The 23435-nt window shown below is 36.1% G+C and overlaps 1 protein-coding gene across 10 annotated transcripts in view, besides 1 other annotated feature; it reads left to right on the top strand.

Moving 5' to 3' along the window:
- Positions 1–23435, top strand: part of ARHGAP12 (Rho GTPase activating protein 12) — a 123479-nt gene that overhangs the window by 61842 nt on the left and 38202 nt on the right. For 4 of the 10 annotated variants that reach the window (XM_005252644.3, NM_001270697.1, NM_001270698.2 and 1 more), the window contains 2 exons: positions 5377–5640; positions 14438–14518. In XM_005252644.3, the coding sequence (XP_005252701.1) occupies positions 5377–5640; positions 14438–14518 (345 nt within the window). Of the gene's footprint in view, positions 1–5376; positions 5641–12828; positions 12970–14437; positions 14519–23435 lie in introns of all 10 variants that reach the window. The other 6 variants (NM_001270695.1, NM_001270696.2, NM_018287.7 and 3 more) reach the window with 2 other exon arrangements.
- Positions 15447–15647: a silencer, noted in NCBI's record as "peak921 fragment used in MPRA reporter construct". NCBI's record gives its function as "represses an SCP1 promoter by STARR-seq MPRAs in K562 erythroleukemia cells {active_cell/tissue: K562}" and the evidence as "EXISTENCE:reporter gene assay evidence [ECO:0000049][PMID:32103011]".

Here is a 23435-nt window from a genome sequence, read left to right as displayed (position 1 = left end):
CTACTTAGAATTACTGTTAAGTCTCTAGATTTCAAACATAATTCCACCTGTTTCTTGGTTTATCGGTTTTGAAGAATGCCATCCAACTTTAGATTCCCTGATTTTTAAAAATTAGGGACTGGGCACGGTGGCTCACGCCTGTTAATCCCAGCATTTTGGGAGGCCGAGGCGGGTGGATCACCTGAGGTCAGGAGTTTGAGACCAGCCTGACCCAACATGGAGAAATCCTGTCTCTACTAAAAAAATATAAAATTAGCCGGGCATGGTGGCTCACGCCTATAATCCCAGCTACTCAGGAGGCTGAGGCAGGAGAATCGCTTGAAACAGGGAGGCAGAGGTTGTGGTGATCCGAGATTGTGCCATTACACTCCAGCCTGGGCAACAAGAGCGAAACTCTTGAGACCAAAAAAAAAAGGGAGCATTTCCTTCAACTTTTTCTCTTCTCATTGTATGGTGTTTATAATTATTTCCATTTCTTGTATTATTCCCAGTGTTTGTCCTGTTCACTCACCGAGATTGCTAGACTCTGGATTTCCCCTTGCTGGGCTGATTCCTGCAAACCACTTCCGGCACAAAGCTTGGGAGTGGTAGGATTCACCTTGTTTGTTTCTCTCAAAGATTACAGTCTGCAGCTGATTGTTGTACAATGCCTCACAATACTTGTTTTCTGTATTTTACTCGCTTTTCTAGTTTATGGCAGGAAAGTAGTTTCAGATCCTCATGGCTGGTAGCTGAAGTCTTTAAAAACTTCTTAATTGCTGAATTGAGTGATTCTTTCAGAGTCCCTGTATTGAAGTCTTTGAATTTGATACTGTCTAGTTTCCCTTCTTTTGAAATTTTCCTTCTTGACTTTCAAATGCTATTCTTTCCTGGTAGACCTTCTACTTCTAACTTTCCTTTCTGCCTCCATCACTTAGTCTGGTTCTTTAGTTATGTTAATTGCAATAATAATTATTATGCTAACAATAGAAATCACTATGCAAGATCATATGCTGACTTTAAACTTATGTTCTCATTTTAATTCATAAAGCAACAGCTTAGTATTTTCCAGGGTTCTCATTTCATCTTGCACTTACTCTGTATGCTTTCATATGTTATTGACCCCACGTGTATATTAATGACTTCTATATTTTTAGCCCTGATTTTTTTTTTTTTTTGAGACGGAGTCTTGCTCAGTCGCCCAGGCTGGAGTGCAGCGTCGCGGTCTTGGCTCACTGCAAGCTCTGCCTCCTGGGTTCACGCCATTCTCCTGCCTCAGCCTCCCGAGTAGCTGGGACTACAGGCGCCCGCCACCACGCCGGGCTAATTTTTTTTTGTATTTTTAGTAGAGATGGGGTTTCGGCATGTTAGCCAGGATGATCTCGATTTCCTGACCTCGTGATCCACCGGCTTCAGCCTCCCAAAGTGCTGGGATTACAGGCGTGAGTCGCCGCGCCTGGCCAGCCCTGATTTTTGTAAATTGGGAACTGAGTTCCCAATTTATATAACCAACAATCTATTACCATTTCCACTTGGGTTTTGAAAAGACTTATCAACCTAATGCAATCTAAATGTAACTCCTGTTTGCCCTTCTCTTTCCATTCTTTTCTTCATCTTGACATTAACTGTAGTAAAACTACACACACGGTAAAACAAACTGTACTTCACATAAGCAAACATACAACCTGTATGTTAATTTAACCTTCTGATTGTTTCTTGAATCTGTCCCTGCTTCTGCATTCCTACTGTCTTGTCCTATTGCAGCTCTCTTCATCTTCTGTCTGTACTACTGTACCAACCTCCTAGTTGCGTCTCTCTAAAATCTGTAATATTTTAAAAATTTAAATCAGAATGCACTTCCTGGCTTAATCTTCAGTAGTTTCCTAAATGCTTCTGGATGTTTGCTTTGCAACATGACCTTCAAACTCTCTGTGCTGTTACTTGCTTTTCCTTAGGCCTTTCACTTGCTGCTCCTTTTACATACTCAGTATGTCAGCATCATTCCCTGAAAGTACCATGCTGTTTTTCCTAGCTTTTGTTCTTCCTCCCTGCTGTTTCCCCAACTTTTACCGGGCTAACTCCTGTTTATTTATTTCTAAGGCTTAGTCACTTGTTTCCGGGTCTCTTCCTTTTTGCTCCCACAGTGTCCCATGTGTAGCTCTAGCATTGTGTCTATTATTATCATGTTTCACTTTCCTTTACCATGTTACGAGGTTCTGGAAGGCAAGGAGATTTTAAATTCATAATTTGTAGCCTAATCACCTAGCTTGAGTACATGATGCTCAATTCATTTGTCAATAGTTTCTATCTTAAAAAGGGACACAACTGTCCATCATTTTTTCAAAACTAGAAGCGTGGATGTTTTCTTAGTTTCCTCTCTTTATCACATCTAACTGGTTCCAAATCCCTAATTTTCCTTTTTTGGAGGAGATACATGTTTGCATACTTTTGTTCGTGTTTGTCATTAGTTTGTTTATTCATTCAACAAATTACATTAAGTGCTCCTGTGTACTGGGCAGTGTACTGAATATTGTATGCCAAATATTGCATTGTATTTATGGAATCTATAGGTTAATTTTTGGAGAATTAGCATGTTTATGAAGTTGGTTTTATTTTCCATTTAGGAACAAGGGTTTATCTATTGAAGTTTAATTTTAGGTACCTGAGGAAGGTTTTACAAATATTCTTACTTGATTTTATACATTTCTTTTAAGGCTTATTTGTGTTAGTTTTTTTCCTATTATGAATGAGATTTTTTGGTTGTTATATTTTCTAATTTGTCATTGCTTATGTATGGGAAACTGACTAGATAATCAAAAATCTGGCCAATTCATGAAACTCTTTTAGTAGTTTTTGTGGATTTGGGTTTTTAACTGTTGGTTATTTCAATGACAAATGACAGTTTCTTTTTTCTTTTACGTATTTTATGAGTTTAATTCATTTTTTGTATCTTAGCACAAATCCAGTACAGTGTTGAGTAGAGCAATTATACTTGGCAGTTAGTTATAAGTGAGATATGTTTACAGTGTTCTTCTATTTAATTCTTCCCTGCTCTTGTTTCAAAATTATGTTAACCTTATAGACCATAATATACTTCAATTTTAATCTTGACTTTAATGGAAGAACTTATCTGTCTTGTTGATTGTGATGTTTAAATACTAATAATTTTTAAAAGTCAAATTAAGGAAGTGTCACCTGTTCCTATCTTGCTAAGAGTTATATCCTGAATCTGTGTTGAATTTTATCAAATGCTTTCTTGGTGTCTGTAGAGATGATCGTGTTTATCTATGAATCTAAAGAATTACAATATGAGATTTCCTAAAGACAGACTTTCTTAATATCTGTGCTTGTTTCATTTAATGTAGTGCTAGATTTCTAATGTTTTATTTAGGATATTTTCTTCCATATTTATAAGTGAGATATGTTACAGTGTTCTTTTATTTAATTCTTCTCTGCTCTTGTTTCAGAATTATGCTAGCCTTATAGATTGTGCTGAAGGCCACTTCAGGTTTTTCTAGCTGGAAAAACTTTAAAAATTTAAACTGTTTAAACAACAGGAATTGTTTCTTGAAGATTTAGTAGAGTTTGTTCATAAACATCATTTAGAAAATGGCTGTTTCTTAGCATCTTTATTTCCCCAAGTTCTAGTCAAATATCAGGAGCAAAGTAAGAACTTCTTTAATATTGGTTGAATAAATATTCTCTAGATATTCTAGGTTCTGAGACATGATTTGCCATATAGAATTTTTATATTAACAGAATTTATTTTCATCAGAGAAAACACATTCACTAGGATATGGAATTAATCTGAAGGAGAAATGATATCTGTCTCCATGGATAGATTTTCTTCATAGAAAGATGTTGTTTAGTGATAAATTTGAAGCTAACGTTTTAAGGAAAATAGTCGAATTTGCATCATTGAATATAGTACATGTATAACTACCATGTGTAAGAAGACCAACAGTGACCATTTCACAAACATGTATTTGTGTTTGGGTTATTTTTACTGTTTTCACAGAGCTTATTCTGTGATTTAAACTCACAAACATTATAGACAAATATTTTTAGAAGTTAAAGCACTTTAATTTCAATAAAACTGATTCAGTGTTTCCATTCAGTATTCTTTTCAAATTCAGTATTTTAAAGCATTCATGAAACTCTAGTTACATTTCAGAAGTAATTGAACATCTGAATATAATTCTAGGATTTATAGGGAAAAGCAGTGGTTCCTCAACTAGGGCCAGTTTTGCCCCCAAGGGACATTCATCAGTGTCTGGAGGCTTTTCAGTTGTCACGTCGGAGGCGTGTGTGTGTGTGTGTGTGTGTGTGTGTGTGTGTGTGTGTGTGTGTCTGTGTGTGCATGCGCCACTGTCATCTGGTGGTTAGAGGTCAGGGAAGCTGATAAACATCCCACAGTGCAGAGGATAGCCCTTACAACAAATAACTTTGTGTCTCAAAATGTCAGTGGTGCTAGGGTTAAGAAATCTTGCTGTAAAAGGAAAATATATACAGAAATACAAATACATAACATAAGCAGGTGTTCTCAGACGTGTGTTTTTTTTCTTCAGCAACTGAAGTTCTGTGTAACCTAATACAATTTACAGTGCCCTTATACAAAGGGTATGAAGTAGCTTGCTCTTGACTGACATCTAGTGAGATATTTAAAAATAAAAAATAAAGCTGTAGCTAAACATTAAACATGTAAATCAGAGTTACTACTAATTCTTACTTTTCTACTGTTAGGAAATTCACAAATAAGGAAGCTAGGAAGAGATTAAATGATTTGTTTATAGCCTCTGAGAAATTATACCTGAGAAGGAATAGAATGTAGTAAATTCTTAGCTTAAGTATTATTCCTCTTTTATGTTTCACTTATGTTCCTGATTTAATGTTAGAGCTTAGAATATGAAATCTTTCTTTTGATAATTTTCATAATAAAAGCTGTGCTACTCATATGTAAAACTTTTTATATTTTAAAGTATTGCCTAAAATCATAGAATTTGAGAGCCAAAAAAGACCTTGGTGGTTTAGTCCAATTCCCTCATTTCTTGAGATAAAAAATTTCACTTTCAAAGAAGTAAAGTGATGTTACCCAATATCATACAACTTGTTAGTGCCAGATCTTGAATTAGAACCCACAGCTCTTGGCTGTCCATCACACTGTTTCAGGTAAAGGAAAGTATTATGCATACTTTGGATTTGGTTTGAAGCTTTTATTTATTTTTCAATGAAACTATGAATATTAAAACTGTTAAATTATTATTTCCTCAGAATATATTCACCTGTATATATGTTTTAAAATGAGTTAGTATTGTTTATAAATCTCCTGTTTCATTTAATTTTGACTTAAATGTTATACCAGTTTAAACATGAAATTTAAAAATGTTTATTTCACAGGCAACCACACCTCCAAATCAAGGAAGGCCAGATTCTCCTGTCTATGCTAACCTTCAAGAACTGAAAATATCCCAGTCTGCTCTTCCCCCACTTCCTGGGAGCCCGGCAATTCAGATTAATGGAGAATGGGAAACTCATAAAGACAGCTCAGGGCGTTGCTATTACTATAACAGAGGGACACAGGAAAGAACTTGGAAACCTCCTCGTTGGACTCGGGATGCAAGCATCAGCAAAGGAGATTTCCAAAATCCAGGGGATCAAGAGGTATGAGTAATTAAGGAATCAACTGCAAGTTACCAGATTTTCTCTTTTCATTATTCAGAAACCAAAGAAGTAAATAGTTTTGTTTCTTACTGTCAGCATGTTAAAACACGTGATCTCTAAGATCATTAAAAATTCTTTCCAAGCTTTACTAAAATATTAATGCTAGCTACTTCCTAATCTCTGACTAATGGACAGCTGCTAACCTGTGTGCGTACTAGTTCCAGAACTGGGTTTAAGTTGTCTAGTGCCAGTGCACCCCCTTATGTCTTAGAACATACTATTTCAGTTGTTACTGCACAAGCCGATGATATTTTAAGTTAAATTTAATTCAGTTTTTTAAGAGATGGAGTCTAGCTCTGTTGCCCAGGCTGGAGAGCCCTGGTGCAATGATATCTCACTGTAGCCTCAAACTCTTGGGCTTAAGCGATCCTCCCACCTTAGCCTCACTAGTAGCTGGGACTACAGGCACATGTCACTGGCTGATTTTTAAAAATTTTATTTGTAGAGATGGGGTCTTGCCGCCTGACTTCAAGCAGTCCCCCTGTCTCAGCCTCCCAAAGTGCTAGGATTACAGGCGTGAGCTACTGCACCTGGCTGTCCAGTGACATTTTTTAGAAAAAAATAGAAATGTGATGTGACCCAGCAAAATAAATAGAAATAATATATTTCTCTATTGGCTTAGTATGGCTACCAGACTACTTCCCATTTTTTCTCTTTGTCAGTCAGCGGTACAAGACCATTGTTTTATTTATATATGAGGGAAATAATTATAATTCCTTTGCTACAATTGAATCATTCTGTTAAGTCTAACAATTCACTTTAAAATCATTATTTTCTCTAACAAGTGTCTGTACTCTTTTTCTCCTTCTGGTTTCACCTTCCTCCATACCTCTTGCAGGATGGTGCAGTAAATTGGCCAGCTGTGTTTTAGAAACACTTATCTCAGTAGTCTGGCAAGAGGCCTTGGGATTATTTAAACGTACAGGAGTAACTTGGTAGGATTGGTAGAATAGAGTGAAATCCTGCCATTTGGTAGGTTGGAGTCCCTCCACCTGCATAGGACATCCGGCTGTTATAGAAAGCAGCTAGCTCGTACAAATAAAAGCAAACTTCAGGTAGATAGGATCTAGAAAAATCAGGGAACACATCTTGTATTTAGCAGACTCCCAAAAGCTTTTTGTAGTTAATAACTCCCTTCTTGTCCCATTTTTCAGTTGGTTTATTTATAGCTTTAGTTTGGTAATAATTTGTGTTTTTAGTGTTCAAGTGAGAGCAAAAATAGAAAAATTGTTCATGTTTAACTATAACAAGAAAGGAAAATTTGGCTGGACGCAGTGGCTCATGCCTGTAATTCTAGCACTTTGGGAGGCAGATCACTTGAGGTCAGGAGTTCGAAACCAGCCTGGACAACATGGTGAAACCCTGTCTCTAAATTAGCCGGGCGTGGTGGCGGGCACCTGTAATCCCAGCTACTTGGAAGGCAGAGGCAGGAGAATCGCTTGAACCCGGGAGGTGGAGACTGCAGTGAGCCGAGATTGCACCACTGCACTCCAGTCTGGGCAACAGAGTGAGACTCTATCTCAAAAAAAAAAAAAGGAAAATTTTATTTGAATTGTACATTAGAAAGATTTGAAAATAAGCTATCCAGTGTATCAATAATAAAGTAAAATTTAACAATTTTAGAGAATTAGGAAAAAGACTAAATTATAGACTAAAAGAATTTGAAGTATACATAGGAACTTTTAACATGTTTCTTAGCTATTTTAGTAAATAGATGGGAGTGACTATGTATACAGGGTCTCAATTACTGGTCTCTATACAAATTATATGAAGATTAATATTTCCAAAGTGGCTGGAGCACATCTTCCAGCGACTTCTTGAGAAAAGTTGTGTATGGGAGGTAAAATGGAAACTATGTGTGTATGAAAATATCTGTCTTCTCCTCTCATATTTAATTGATAGTATTCCTGGGTATAGAATTCTAGGATGGAAATTATTTTCTCTCACAATTGTGAGGCATTTTGAACTTTAATGGATATCTGGGTCAGCCCCTCTTTGGGGAATCCCCAGTGTTAGACCCATTAGGTCTTTCCTTTTGGACTAATTAGAATGTCCACAGATGTCTTTAGGTCTCTTGCCTATACACGGTAAGGGCTGTCTGTGTCTTGGTGTTGGCATTCATTTTGCATGTGGTCCCTCAGTCTCCCTTCTTTCTCTTGGTACCCATGTTCCTATTGTGTCTATTGTCCCCCAACTCAGAATCTTAGTATTTTTCCCTTCTCAGAGGGAATAACTCTCCATATGTCTGCTGGGGTAGGGATGGGCTGCACACCTAGCAGCCAGGTATGTAGAAGGAGATTCTGGCATTTTTAATCCTTATTTTAGTACCACTGCTTTCACTCCCCAGTTTCACAGATACCTGATACCGTCAGTTGCTGAGCCAGTTGCAGATTCTGTTCCGTAAGCTTGTCGGGTTTATTTTCCCCTACTCTCCTTTGTCTGCACCATACTGGTTTAGATTCTACTTTCTTCCGTGTAGGTAATTCAGGTTTTTTGTTCATCTGCTTGACTGTTGTCCTCCCTGTTGTTGTGGGTTTACATCATTTTAAGCACATTTCGCTGTTGTGATTTTAGTGGGGTTTGAGAGGGAGCAACTGTTGGCTCTTCTGTCTTAACACAGAAGCTTATTATTTTAGTGGTTACCCTAGAACAATCATTCGTAGTAGGGCTGATTTCGCCTTTCAGGGACATTTGGTAAAGTCCGAAGACTTGTTTTGGTTGTCACAATGGGAGACGTGCTACTGATCTCTAGTGGGTAGAGGCCAGAGATGCCGCCGAGACAGGATCTTGTTATGTTGCCCAGGATAGACTCAACGCTCAAACTCCTGGGCTCAAGCAGCCCTTTTGCCTCAACTTCCCCAGTAGCTGGGACTACAAGTATGGGCCACCATGCCCAGCTTTAGCATGCGTAGTTAGTCTATGCATAGTGTAAAGTTAATCACTGTCTTCTTGTTCCTTGAAGCCATATAGGATCTATGTGTGCTGTTGTGCTGCTGCTGTCATATGTTGTATTTCAATTTTTAGCCCCTTTGTTGTTGTTGTACATGACTCTTAAAATTAATCCTGATTTTTACCACCTTCTTTTCTCACATTTTCTTCTTCTGTCATAAATATGAGCCTTTTTTGGCAGGAGACAGGGTTTTGCTCTGTTGCCCAGGCTGGGGTACAGTGTTGTGGTCATAGCTCTCACTGCAGTCTCAAACTCCTGCACTCAGCCATCCTCCTGCTTCAGACTCCCAGGTAGCTGGGACTACAAGCATGAACTACCATGCCTGGCTAATTTTTTAATTTTTTGTAGCTATGGGGTATCACTGTGTAGACCAGGCTGGTCTTGAACTCCTGGGCTCAAATGATCCTCCCACCTTGGCCTCCTGAAGTGCTGGGATTACAGGCATGAGCCACTGTGCCCAGCCATAAGTACATGCTTTTAAATTCCTTCATGAGGATCTGTTAATAATAGAATCTTAGTTTTTGTCTGAAAATTTATTTTACTTTTACTTTTGAAGAACATGGGTATATAGTTCTAAGCTGACTGTTTACTTATTTGTTTTTCCTTTGTTCATTGAAGATTTTATTCTCATATTTTCCGGCTTCCATTGTTGATGCTGAAAATTCAGATGTCAATCTGATTGTCTTTTCTTTAAGTGTAGTTTGTCTCTTTTTGTTGGCAGCTTTAAAGATCATGTGTCTATATTTTTACTGTGATGTAGCTGGGTAAAGGTTTTTTATTTTCTGCGAGGGCTTTGTTGAGATTTCCGAATTTGAGGAGTCCTGTCTTTGATCAATTCTGGAAAATTCTTAGCTGTATCTGAATATAGGCTCGCCCCCATATTCTCTTTCTTCTTATTCTAGAACCTTGATTAGATGAATGTTTAACCTCACGCTGTTCATCCATGTCTCTCTGTGCCTCATTTTCAGTATTTCAAGATCCAGCTTCTATTTGGTATTTTTCCCTTTGTCTATGCCTTCATTTGATGTTAAGTCAATCCTTGAATTGTAAAAAAGTATTTTTTTTTATTTGTTTAGGGGAGTTTCCCGATATCACTACTTTGAAAAGTTTTAAACCTTCAAAAATTTAAAAGAACAGTAAAGTGAACATTATATGCCATGTATCATTCATCTAGATTTACCAATGGTTAAAATTTTGCCACGTTTGCTTTATTTCTTTCTCTCCCTTCACCTGCCCAAACACATACACACGTGTGCGTATGAATGATTTGAATCAGATAATATTTTGAATGATTTGAATCAGATGAATGATTTGAATCAGATAATGCTTTATTCCCTAAGTATAAGGACATGTTCCAGCAAAACCACAATACATTTATCATACCCAAGACATATAATATTAGTATGTTATTTCATACATGGCTAATATTCATTGTTTCTCAGTTGTCAAGTAATATTCTTTATAGTTTTTTTTCCTGCAGTGAAGGATCCAGTGAAGACTATATGTTGCATTTATTTGTTGTATCTCTAGTGTTGTTTTCTATTTTTTGTTAGTTTCTATGTATAAAGTTTTAGAGAGTCTGATTATACTGTTTTTCTGCTGACTCTTACTCAGGGTGTTTTGAGAGTGTATCTGTTTTAATGTGAGGTTATAGTTCTTGGAAATTCATAAATAGGAAGTCTTTACTGCTGGGGTTGAAGGTGGGTTCCTTCAGAGGTGAGTCTCTTCTGACGGATGCCTAGAGAAACTATGAATATTTAAAAGTACATCTTTAGCTTTAGTTTTTACAAGCCACCCAGGTAGTATTAATAGTAATTTGGATTTCATGAAGACTCTTGTGGCTAGAAAGTCCCCTTATTTTCCCCAATTATTGGGGTAAATTTCTATGATGTTCCTAGTGTGGAATAAAGGAGCAAAATTTGTTAATGGTTCACCCATAATTTGTGGGTATAATTCTTTGGCGTTTCCAGCTCTGTATTGTGGGATAGCCTTTTAGACTTCCTGCTTTTGGTAATCCTGAGTTCAGTTCTCTAACACTCCTGCGTGGTCTTGAAAACTAACATTTTAGTTTGGGGTCTGGCAAATGCCTTCAAGAAGAAAGCTGCTCTTTTTTCTTCTGCTTGACTGTCTTGATTCTTGTTTCCACTTAGCTTTTGACCTCTGAGGATTTCTTAATTAACCTTTTGTTCATAGATTATTTTAAAAAAAATTTTATGTAACATTTTCAACTGTTTCTGTTAAGATGATCAATTGGGATACCTACCTGCCATTCTTCTATAAATGGAGCATCTACCATAGCCCCCTCATATTTGTACTAGGATACATTTGCTGCAGAATACATCCCAAAGTTACTGAATTGGTTACACCTTTGAATGGAGTTATTAGGTATAGAATAGTTAACATCTATAGAATGCTTGCCAAAAATAATCTTAACTTTAACTTTTACTTAACTGCCATTAAACAACTATTTTCCAGTGGAAGATATCCAGATCTTAAAGCCTGGTTCTGTAGTATAATATAAAACACATGAAGATATTGGAGGTTACTTTTCATGGTAGAACATCATATTTACTGTGCAAAATTTGGAAAATTATGATGAGAATTTTGTTAGCTAGAAAGTCATATCTTTGAAAAAGTGATTCTGTGATTTTGTTTCTTAAATTAATTTTACTAATTCAGTTGCCCTTTTTCTGTTTCTAAAAGTTTTACTGCACTCTTCTCGTCTATGAGCTTGCATTTTAAGTTGCCTCAATTAAATAAAAATAAACTCCTGATTTTTGAATTAGGCTTTCAATGTTTAAAAAATGTTTCTGTTGTAAAACATATATAATTCACTTTATGCAGTGTTTCTGTAAAGCTATGTTTTTGTGAACATATTAATATTAGGCTCTTAGTGTCTTTAACTACAATCTTGAGAATCTACCTATCTTAGTGTTTCAGACCAAATTATGATGATAGAAAATACAGTCTGAATGAGTAAGTTTTACTTGCCGAAACTATTTTATCTAGAGGTGATAGGAAGGGTCATTTGCACATGAGTGCTAACCTAATAAATGATTTTTAAATGAATGACTTTTAAGTGCAGAAAGCAAATTGCCATTTAGTCATATTATGGTGCCTCTTGTCAGTAGGCATCAAAAGTTTCTAAATTTTCCCAGTCTTCTAATTCGCTTCCCTCATGTGTCTGCAGTTTATCATATCATGTGTACCCGTATTACCTTATTTTCTCCTCCCCCTCCCTTTCCCCTCCCCTTCTCCCCCTCCCTTCCTCTCCCTCCCCTCCCCTCCCCTCCTTTTCGCCCCCTCCTTTCCTCCCCCTTCCCCTTTCCCTCTCCTATCCCCTCCCCCTCCCCTCCTCCTCCCCATCCTCCTCCTGCTCCTCCTCCTCCTCCTCCTCCTTGTTCTTCTTTTGAATAAAAATGGAGATGAGGTCTCACTATGTTGCCCAAGCTGGTTTTGAACTCCTGTACTCAAATGATCCTCTGGCCTTGGCCTCCCAAAGTGCTGGGATTACAGACGTGAGCCACCGTTCCTGGCCCCTATATTATTTTCATACAGAATTTTTTATTTGTCTTTCTGTATTGTGTTTGAATTTGCTCAATGTTATTTTTTCTTGTTTTGAAGTTTAGTTTCCAGTAGTCTTTAACAAGCATTTGACTGAATGAGTTAGGAGAATTTATCAATAAATTATAACACAAATTATAGAAAAATAGTCTGAGATATATTTATTGAGCAGGGTTGTTTGCCTTGCATGTGGCTATATGCTTGTGGTACATGAGAAGGAGCTCAGTCTAATGAAGTTCCCTCGTCTCCTCCCTTGTTTACACACAGATATGTGTACACACACCTATTCCTCTCATTTTTAAACTTGATTTCAGCACGAAAGCAGCACTAAGTAACATTCGAGCTCTCCTTGGTCTGAAAACATTGTTTTCAGTTTTATTGTGGTGAATTTTTCTAGGGCTGCACTAATGTGATAAAATAACCACTATTAATTTTACCTCACCTCTTACAATGTACCATTTAAAGACTTATCAATTTATTTTCAAAATCAAATATTCAGATATATTTAAGATATCTTCATACTTATAGTCAAGTAAAATTTATTTATTAGATTTTCAACCAATTCATATTTATATTCAAAAAAGAAAAATCCTTATGTTTCTGACTATTTGTAGCTTCTTTCATCGGAAGAAAACTACTACAGCACTTCTTACAGCCAGTCAGATAGTCAGTGTGGTTCTCCTCCAAGGGGTTGGTCAGAAGAGTTGGATGAACGTGGGCATACCTTATATACCAGTGACTATACTAATGAAAAGGTACATTCTTTTTTTCTCATCTAGTGTTTTTTGGCAGAATTCTCTCATAAAATAGTTGTGTACTGCAGTTTTAGTATTTAAAAAAGAAAAAACTCATGAAAATATTCTTCATTGTAACTTTATAATCATGCCAATTGACAATACGAAAACTCAGTGTAACTACTGATTGTTTTAAACTGCTAAGGATGATAGTAATTTTTATGCTCTTGTACTCATGGAAGACTTTTTAAGAGTACACCTGTTGAATGTCATTTGTTTAGATTTCTTCAGTAGGCATATTTCTTTATATTTTTCTGAGGGAATAGTTTTTTGGAAATGGTTTTCTCTCTGTGCCATTATCATACATCGCCTCACTGCCTATTCTCCTTTTTCTATTACAATCAAATTTATGTAAAACAAAAACCATCAATCTAGTATTTTATGATTAGTCTGTAATGAATATTGACATTTTATGTGTGTATTGCATCTGGTATCATTTGAGAAAGCAACTGTGGGTTGTACATGTTCAGAGAAGATATGCTTGGGAATAAGTGGGGCTAGGCTTTTATCCCTCTTTCCTGCCTCAATTATTTGACATTAGAACATACGGAAGCAGTTTTTTCATTTATGTCATACTCAAGATCATGTGTTTGTATTAGCAATATGTAGTCTTTTTTCCCCTCATATTCCCTGTGTTTTATTGCATGATGTTCTGTTGTTGCTGTTATTTAAATTTTATTGTGTTTGGCCATAGGAAGTAATTCCTAAAGGTTTGCATGAAATGAGCCTTTAAATAGTTTAGTTGTACATTTAATTGAAAAACATTTCTCTTTTGTCAATTTCTCAAACCTGTTTTGAGAATGTGAGTGTACCTGTGTTCCAGTGCATATGTACATCGTATGTTATATGTTGCTTGTTGTTAAGTGGTGCTTGAGCAGCTAGCCAGACATTGGAGGATAGAGAGAGCAAATAAAGCCATGTTTAATAATGAGTATATTTATTCTTACCAAACTTAAAATGCAAGGCTTTTAGTATAATTAGTTAGAAATTTTTGTTGCCGGCCGGGCGCCGTGGCTGACGCCTATAATCCCAGCACTTTGGGAGGCCGAGGCAGGCGGATCACCGGAGGTCAGGATTTCGATACCAGCCTGACCAACATGGAGAAACCCCATCTCTACTAAAAAAACACAAAATTAGCCAGGCGTGGTGGCACATGCCTGTAATCCCAGCTACTCGGGAGGCTGATGCGGGAGAATTGCTTGAACTGCTTGAACCTGGGAGGTGGAGGTTGTGGTGAGCCGAGATGGTGCCATTGCACTCCAGCCTGGGCTCTCAAAAAAAAAAAAAAAAAAAAAAAGAATTTTTTGTTGCAATGTTCTTGATCAAGTAGAATAAAATTCATAAGAATTAAATCTAGTATCTCTGATAGTAGTAGCTTAAACTCACTTTTATTTAAATTTAATAAAAAACACCTGTTCTGTTTTTATAGTGGCTCAAGCATGTTGATGATCAAGGTAGACAATATTACTACAGTGCAGACGGATCTCGGTCAGAATGGGAATTGCCAAAGGTAATAAACCTTGACACCGAATTTCTATTTAAAAATAGTAGATGAAGTAATATCTGGAGATGGTTTCAGCAGATTTATTTTAAGATCTTTATTCTACTTTTACAAAGTAGAATAATTTTTTCAGAATTCACTGTGAATACTGTGAGTAGTGTAAGTTTTCTAAGATGTACAGGTGTCTTCACTATGTGATACTGATTGTTGCTATTCAGAATATCTTTTGGGTTAACTTGAAATTGGCCTTTCCTTATTCTTGGAAATAAGAATTCTCTTCAATACCAATAATGCCATCTTATATCTAGTTGTGTTGAGTATATTGATTTTTCTACATAAAGTTGGTCTTATATTTAATCATTTTTTGAGAGAAAGAAAAGTAACTCAGTATTCAAGTTTATCCTCTTATGTAAATGGTGTGTATGATTGAGCCATTCATTGACTGAGATATAGGCAACATGTGATAAGATGTCCTAGGATTTAGCTGGACGTCTCATTTCCAGACAAGTGTACCAGGGCTGAGTTTATCTAAGGTGGTAGGTTTCAAAGTGGCCATATGCATATCACTATTGGTGCTTGAGATAATTTTAAGTGATATATGAGCAAACATTTGAATTTTAATTGGTGCATTATTTTAATGTTCTAGAAAATAGCCGTAATTAGTGGACAAATATGTGGTGTCAGTTGTTACATATACTTTAGTTTTTAAAATTTGTCTTTTCCCCAAAGTAAGTCAATTTAAAGAAGAATATTAATAGTATAAATGAAACATGGATATAGAAAAAATGACTAGATGTTACTACATTGACTACAAGTTCGGAAACGCTAATCTAGTAAACTAATGTTAATAGTGCTTTCTTCTTTATGTGAATGCTATCTGGCCTTTCATTATTTTATGAAATTCTAAGGCTTGATATGGGTAGGATGAAAATGAAATACATATCCTGTAATTGATTTTTAAGAATACCTTTGTGAGTCTGAGTTGACCAAGTAGCAGAAGAGAGCTCCACTGTAACTGACAGCTTTTACAGTTTTGTAATCTCATGGAACAATGTGTAGGTGGCCATAATGGAAAAGTTCATGGGTGTGGGGGATGAGGAGATAGATAAAGGAAATACTGGTACCTTTGATTAATTTGTTGATGAAGCATAGCCTCAGAATTTTCTTGTAGTTTAAAAAACTTGTCACATCTTCAGATAAGCATTTTTTGATCCTTTATCTCACATTTTACGTAGGTTCTTACTTTCTGTTTGCTCAGCTCAACAGGAAAAACTATTCCATATTTTAAACCACTTTATTGTTTAAATTAATTACGGAGTCATATTAAAATTTACATTTATACAATAGGATTGTTTTTTAAAATACTGTTTTCAGCTTAACATATTAGTATTAGTGAAGATAATTTTTATATTTTAATTATAAGAGCTCCCGTATAAAAAGTTAAGAAGATACTACTATTATCACATTGTGTTTTTACTTCATCAATCATAAAATACCGTGAATGAAAAAGATCCAAATAAAAAGTCTATTGAAAAGTGCCACAAATCACATATTTCAGGGTTGAATGTTTTATCTCATTACTCTTTAAAATTATGAAACACAATTCAATAAAACATTTGTGGATATTTTTCATTTTCATTATTATTAATTTATACTTTTAGAATGTGATTCTGAAGATAAAACCTTATTTATCCTTGAAACTTTGAAGTTGTGCCAAGCACTCAGAACTCTGAAGAACCATAGCTTAGCAGTTGTGATACTCTAGCAAGTTTTTTAAAGTTAAGTTTTATAAAAGTTAAATAACCATTTTATTTTCCAAATATTTCATTGTCTTCCAATAAAACTTATAAGTGGGAAAATGATACCTCAAGCTTAGTACGACTGTTACCAACTTTTAGGGGAAAGGAGATAAACATAATAAGATAAGCAATTTATTTTATTAATGTGCTGTGAAGAAGTAATAGAATACCTCAGATACTGCTCTTCAAAATTGGTACCGTTTATAAAAAAAATTTAGTGATTAATTTAGAAAGAATGATTTTATGGATCATGATGGCCAAAATATGTAATAACTTATATGTTGGGGAAAGAGTATTGTTTTGAGGGATGTAATTACTCAGTATTGAAAACTATGTATAACAGGGATTGGTTCTGTTAGGCTGTTCTAATAAGGGTTATGCTTATAAAATACAAGCTCTGATTTCCACTTGAAGGAACCAGAAGAAAAATCTGCTCAATGTTTAGTTCACTGAAAACGATTTAGGTTATAGAAGACTAATATTTTATTAATACAATAATTAAATAAACATATTAAGTTTTTTGTTCCGCTTGACAGATTTGAATTGTAGCTCTTAACAGTACCTCAAATACCAGTTGAGTTTTTGGAGGAATCATCTGCTGTATCTTTCTTCATAGTGGTTTCTGATTCCCTGGAGTAATGACATCAGTCACAAGGCTGCTTTTGAGTGATTTGTCCCAGGTCAGGGTCCTTTGAAGGGAGAGAGTCCCAGGACGGCCTAATATCAGGAATAATTTGGAGTCTTAACTGGTAGCTAAATACTCCTACTGGGTTTCTTTATAACTCAATTCTATAATTTCCTTGGTCAGAAGAACTATAGGCTGCATTAGGAAACCTATTTACTTTCAGAGATGCCTTTAATGAAAAAAAGAGGAGAGGCAAGAGACTGAATCAAGACCTCAAAGGGTATTTTACAGCAGTGGAAATGGGTACTGATTGTGACCAGCGTTGAATCCTCAGTTTTGTGATACTATTTCATTTTCTGCTGCCATTTGCTGCTTAGCATAAAGTGTCAGAAGGTCTTCACAGTTTAACTCTCAATTAAATTGGATATGGAGAAGAGGTTTGAATTAAATACAGTGGAAATGAGGAAATAAGGAAAAGTGCTGTAGAGTCACTATTTCATGGATTGTTACTGCATGATAAAGACAACTTCAGGTTACATTCTGCACTCTTAAGCAACTTAATACTTACTAGTAAGTCTAAGATAAATCTGTCAAGCTTGTAACCCCCATGCAGATATTAAAATTTAGTTTAATATTTTCTGAACACATCTTTGGTGTTCAGTATTATGTAATATGTTGTGATAAATGCAAATACATAGGACATGGTCTTTACCCTAAAAATTTTTGTTGTAAGTTTGGAAAGAAGAAACATGTTTATATGACAACTGAGTAAAAAAGAATGTATACATAAATACAAACACTCTGGGTTAGGTGTAGGAGAAGGGAACCAGAAAACTATTAGACAGGAAGGAGGATTGAGAGAAAGAAATAAAGGAGAGTAAATGGAGAGAGAGAAAACAAAACATTCCCCACTCAAAATGAAGTCTGCTGTTCAGTATTTCAAATAAAATATGTGAAGAAATCCAATGCTATTATCATAGACATAAGAAGAATCAAAACATGGTATTCACTCCAGATGAAAGTAATGTTCTTTTTTTTTTTTTTAAAGACGAGTCTCGCTCTGTCGCCCAGGCTGGAGTGCAGTGGCGCGATCTCAGCTCACTGCAACCTCTGCCTCCCAGGTTCAAGTGATTCTCCTACGTACCTGGGATTATAGGCGTGCACCAGCACACCTGGCTAATTTTTGTATTTTTAGTAGAGATGGGGTTTCATCATGTTGGTCAGACTAGTCTCGAACTCCTGACCTTGTGATCTGCCCACCTCAGCCTCCCAGAGTGCTGGAATTACAGGCGTGAGCCACCGCGCCTAGCCGAAAGTAATGTTCTTAATAATTTAATAAAGGCTTAAAATTATGCTGTGGATGATCAGAATTAAATGAAGGCTTTCATTTAAAAAGAACAAGAAATTAGGAAAAATAAAAACATACATGAATAGGTAAATATGATGAATAAATTAGAAATCTTCAAGATGAAAAAACATAGTTATTCAAATAAAAAATGCAGTCAGCATAAACTTTAGACAGGGACAGAAAGCTAACAAATATGAAAGCATAGTTAAGAAAAATGGAGGATGAGTTGAAAGTTTTCTATATTCATGTATTAGGAATTCCAAAAGAAGAGAATGGAGGAATGGTGTGGAAACAGTATTTGAAAATATAATTTCTAGGAATTTTCTAAAATTGAAGGAAGACATGAGTCTTTAGAAAATATGCTTTGAATGCTGTCAAGGATAAATAAAAATAAATCAACATGTCAACAAATTTTGCTGGGTCTTCAGAACCCAGGAGACAATCTTAAAAGCCGTCACAGGGGGAAAGGACAGATCACCTACTGCAGTAGATGGCACCACTGGATCCATTCTTACTCTAGTATTAGGTTCTTTGTTGTGTACCTTTGTGGTGGCCTCCCAAATTGTCCTGTCGTTAACTGAGTTCAGCTGTGTGGCTTGCTTTCACTGGGATATGAACAAATATGACACAAGGAGAGTATTGAAATGGGCTTGTAGTCAGGGCTTGCTCTTGCACCTCTGCCATTGCCACGAGAAGAATGTGCCCAGGCTAGCCTCCCAGTCTCAGGAGGGGGATGAGAGACAGACTGGTGCAGATGAGCCCCTCTAGATCAGACAGTTTTTAGCCAACCCAGAAATCTGTGGTAATACATGATCAACATTTTAAGCCAAGTAAAGCACACTGTCTCTGTTTATTATACCTACTCTGTTCCAGGTGAACACCACAAAAGCCTATCCTTCTGCATGATGTGCTGTGCAGAACATGTTATGAAGCCCAGTCAGCCATCCCTAACCAGCACTATTGAAAGAGCACTCTCCCCCTCCCTGCCTGGGCACTATGGAGACTGTGGGGTGGAGCCCTGTTGACTAGACCCACAGTGCATGCAAGGAACCCTGTGATGCATCCTCCCTATGCACTAAATGGACAACAGCAACAAGGCAGCACCCCACCCTATCCCAAGCAGAGTGTGGGAAGAGGATTATGGAGAGGAAGGAACCAGAGAAAGGGATTTCTAAACTGTGTATAAGGTCCTAGACACTACTCCCAGTGGCCTATGCATGAAAACAACCAGAATTAACATAGCAAAATCTTTGAGAACTGAAACATGGTGGGGAGTACTGCCCAGGTTTCAGACTGGCCTCTGGGTAGCACACAAACAGGGCAGATCAGAACAGCAATTAAAAGATTTTTAAAATGAAATTGACATTTGAACTATGGGCCATAAAAGCAGGCTGGGGTTCACAACCTGCTAAAATATGTTTAAATAGAAACCAAAGTCTTATAGTACTCAAAACATCCAAATATGACCTAGAATTACTTGTCATAGCAAGAACCAGGAAAATCTGAACTTGAATGAGAAAAGACAATCAGTAGGTTGGTGACACACCAAGATGACAGGGATGAATGAATTATCTCATAGGATTTTAAGTCAGCTGTCATAAAAGTGCTACAGCAAGCAATTATAAACACACTTGAGATAAGTGAAGAGGTTGGAAGTCTCAGCAAAGAAATAGAAGATATACAGAAAAACCAAAGGGAAATCCTAGAGCCAAAAATCAAGTACTGGATGGCTCAATAATGGAATGGAGGTAAAAGAGAAGAGAATCTATGATCTTGAAGATAGGTTAGTAGAAATTATTTAGTCTGAACAATGGAGAGACAATAGATTTCCAAAAAAAAAAAAAAAAAAAAAAATGAACAGTGCCTCAGAGACCTGTGGGAAAATACGAAAGAGCTAACCTTCCTTTCATTGGAGTTCCAGAAGGAGAAAGGAAAGAGTGTGAGGCAGAAAGATACTTTGAAGAAGTAGTTTGAAAATGCCCCCAATTTGGCAAAAGACAAACCAACAGACTCAAGAAGCTGAATAAACACCAGATAAGGTAAACCCAAAGAAATCCATATCCAGGCTCATTGTATTCAAAATTTCTGAAAACTAAAGACCCTCCCTCCCCCTGATAAAGTCTTGAAAGCCCTTCAGTGAAACAACACTTTACCTTTAGGATAATAATTTGAATGAAGTGAGTGCCTTATCAGAAGCCATGGAAGCCAGAAAGAAGTGGCATAACATTTTTCAAATGCTAGAAGAAAAGAACTGTGAACCCTTCTGCACCCAGCAAAAATATCCTTCAGGAATAAAAGTAATATAAGGACATTTTCAGAATGAAACTAAACTAAGAGATTTATCCCTAGCAGTCTTGCTTTCAAAGAGTTGCTGTAGGAAGTCTTTCAAACAGAAGGGAAGTGATAAGAAAACTTGCAATATCAGGAATGAATAAAGAACAACAGAAAGGGTGAATATCTGAGGAGACTTTTGTCCTGGGTGTTTAAAATTGTCTTTGACATTTGAAACAAAAATTATAACATTCCTGAAGTAGTCCTGATATACAGTAGTGATATTTAAGACAACTGTTTCATAAAGAGTGAGTGAGTAAAGGGATGTAATTTTTGGTAGGGTTTCTATTATTCCACTTGAAGTAGTAAAATGTTGATACTAGTAGACTGATAAATTATGTATATTGTAATCCCTAGAGCAAGCACTAAAAAAGTATAACGAGAGGCTCAAGAAACTGTAGATATATTAAAATATAATAGTAAAAATTGCTCAAGTAGCCCACAGGACGGTAGGAAAGGAGAAACAGACAATTAATGATAAAATGCCAGACTTAAATCCTAACATTATAAATAATCACATTAAATGTAAATGCTCTAAACACACCTGTTAAAAGATTTGCAAAATGGATATTAAATCACTGTGATCCAAGAATATGCTTCTGTAAGGAAATCACTATTCTTTCTTTCTTTATTTTTTTGAGACAGACTATCACTCTGTCGCCCAAGCTGGAGTGCAGTGGTGAAATTTCGGTTCGCTGCAGCTTCCACCTCCCAGATTCAAGCTATTCTTGTGCCTCAGCCTTTTGAGTAGCTAGGCCTATAGCAATGCACCACCAAACCTGGCTAATTTTTGTATTTTTAGTAGAGACAGGCTTTTACCATGTTGGCCAGGCTGGTCTCAAATTCCTGACCTCAGGTGATCCACCCATCTCAGCCTCCCAAAGTGTTGGGATTACAGGCGTGAGCCACCGAGCCCAGATGAAAATCACTTTCTTACAATGACACATTATGCTAAAGTTTATCTATTAAATAATCTGCAGTAAATCTCATACTTCACGGTGAGATTACAGAAGCTTTCCCATTAGAGTTAGGAACTAGACTAGAACATTTCTATCACGCTTCTATTCAACAATTAAGAAAAGGAAAGAAATAATGGAATTAAAAAGGAAGAGATGCAATTGTTTTTTTAAATTATTGTTATTATTAGAAAATCCCAAGAGAACCTATAAACTTAAAACTGATGAGAGTTCAGCAAAGTTGCTGGATATGAAATTAACATGAAACTACCCATTTGTCTAGTAAAAAGTGAGTTTGAAAATGTGATTGCAGTGAAGATACTATTTACATTAGCAGCAGTAGCAACAAGAGTTGTAACTAAGAACATGTTTATTAAAGGTCTGTAAGATTTTAATAAAGAAATTTTCAGAGCAGAATAAAGGAAGACCCAAATAAATAGTGTAGCATACCATCATGATCTTGGATTGGGAGGCTGAATTTTATAACAATGTCCAAATTAATCTACAAGTCCAATGCATTTCCATTTAATATCCCTTCCCTCACTTTTTTGGGGAATGGAACCTAAAATTTATATTTGCAAACAGATATCCATAAAGAGTCAAAATATTCCTGAATAGGGAGTCGTTGGTGGGTAGGGAACAGGAGAGATAGAGTTCCTGCTATGGTAATTAAGTTGGAATAGTAAGGGCACATGTATAAAACTCAGACATGGCATTACAAATCAATGGGGTTAGGGAGACTTTGGCTCTACAAAAAAAAAAAAAAAAAGCCAAGTGTGCTGGCATGTACTTGTAGTCCCAGCTACTCAAATGGCTGGGACAGGAACATCTCTTGAGCCCAGAAGTTCAAGGTTGCAGTGAGCTCTGATCATGCCACTGCGCTCCAGCCTGGGTGACCAGAGAGGGACCCTGTCTCAACAAACAAACAAGCATTGGTTTGTGTCATCTGAGATGCTGCAACAACAACTAAAAAGAAAACAAATCAATGGGGTAAGCATGGACTAAGTAAGAATGTTACTAAGATTATTGGTTTTCACATGATAAAAATGAAAATAAATGTAGATCTTGACCTCACTTCATGCTCAATGATTAATTTCAGTTAGATTAAAGACATAAATATAACAAGTAAAACTTTAAAGACTGTGGAAAGATATATCAAAGAATATCTTTGTCTGCAGAGTAGGAAAGATTTCTTGAACAAGACTCAGAAGCCTACTATAAAAGGAAAGATTGACAGATATGACTGAATTAAAATTAAACAAAACACCTTCTCTTTGTAGAAGATGTAATCAAAGGGGAGAAGATGGGCTACAAACTAGGAAAAGATATCTTCAACTCACATAGCCTAGAAAGGTTTAGAATCCAGAACATGTAAAGAACTTACTAGTTCATTTTGAATTTAATTTTTGGTTTAGGTTTTTAAAATAATGCTTATTTTTGATTTTAGTAGAAGAGATAGAAGTAGAAAAAATAATTTGTCTGATTTTACTTTATAAATTATGATAGTTAATATTTATTGATAATATACTACTCTTTTAATACTTTCTTCTTTAATACTTTGATCTTTATAGCAACTCCGTGAATGAGATATTTCTGTTATATCCACTTTACAGTTGACAAAACTTAGACTGAGGGAGATTAAATATTTTACCAAAGATAACACTACCTTGGTCTGTGTAACACCAGAGTCTGTGATCTTCTCAATTGTGCCACAGTTCTGGTTAAAGATGAGAAAACTGAGGCTGGAAAATTTGTGGAGATGTCATATAATGAACTTCGCCTAACAGTCTTTGTCATTTGGAGCCAAGATGTTTAGATTCCACTTTCATTTCTATTGTTTATGAACTGTTTTTTGTGTTTTTTGCTT

The sequence above is a fragment of the Homo sapiens genome, chromosome 10, assembly GCF_000001405.40.
Source record: "Homo sapiens chromosome 10, GRCh38.p14 Primary Assembly".
In the NCBI taxonomy this organism is placed as follows: domain Eukaryota; kingdom Metazoa; phylum Chordata; class Mammalia; order Primates; family Hominidae; genus Homo; species Homo sapiens.
Note: the sequence above shows the minus strand (reverse complement) of the source record. Positions and strands in the feature narration are given on the sequence as shown.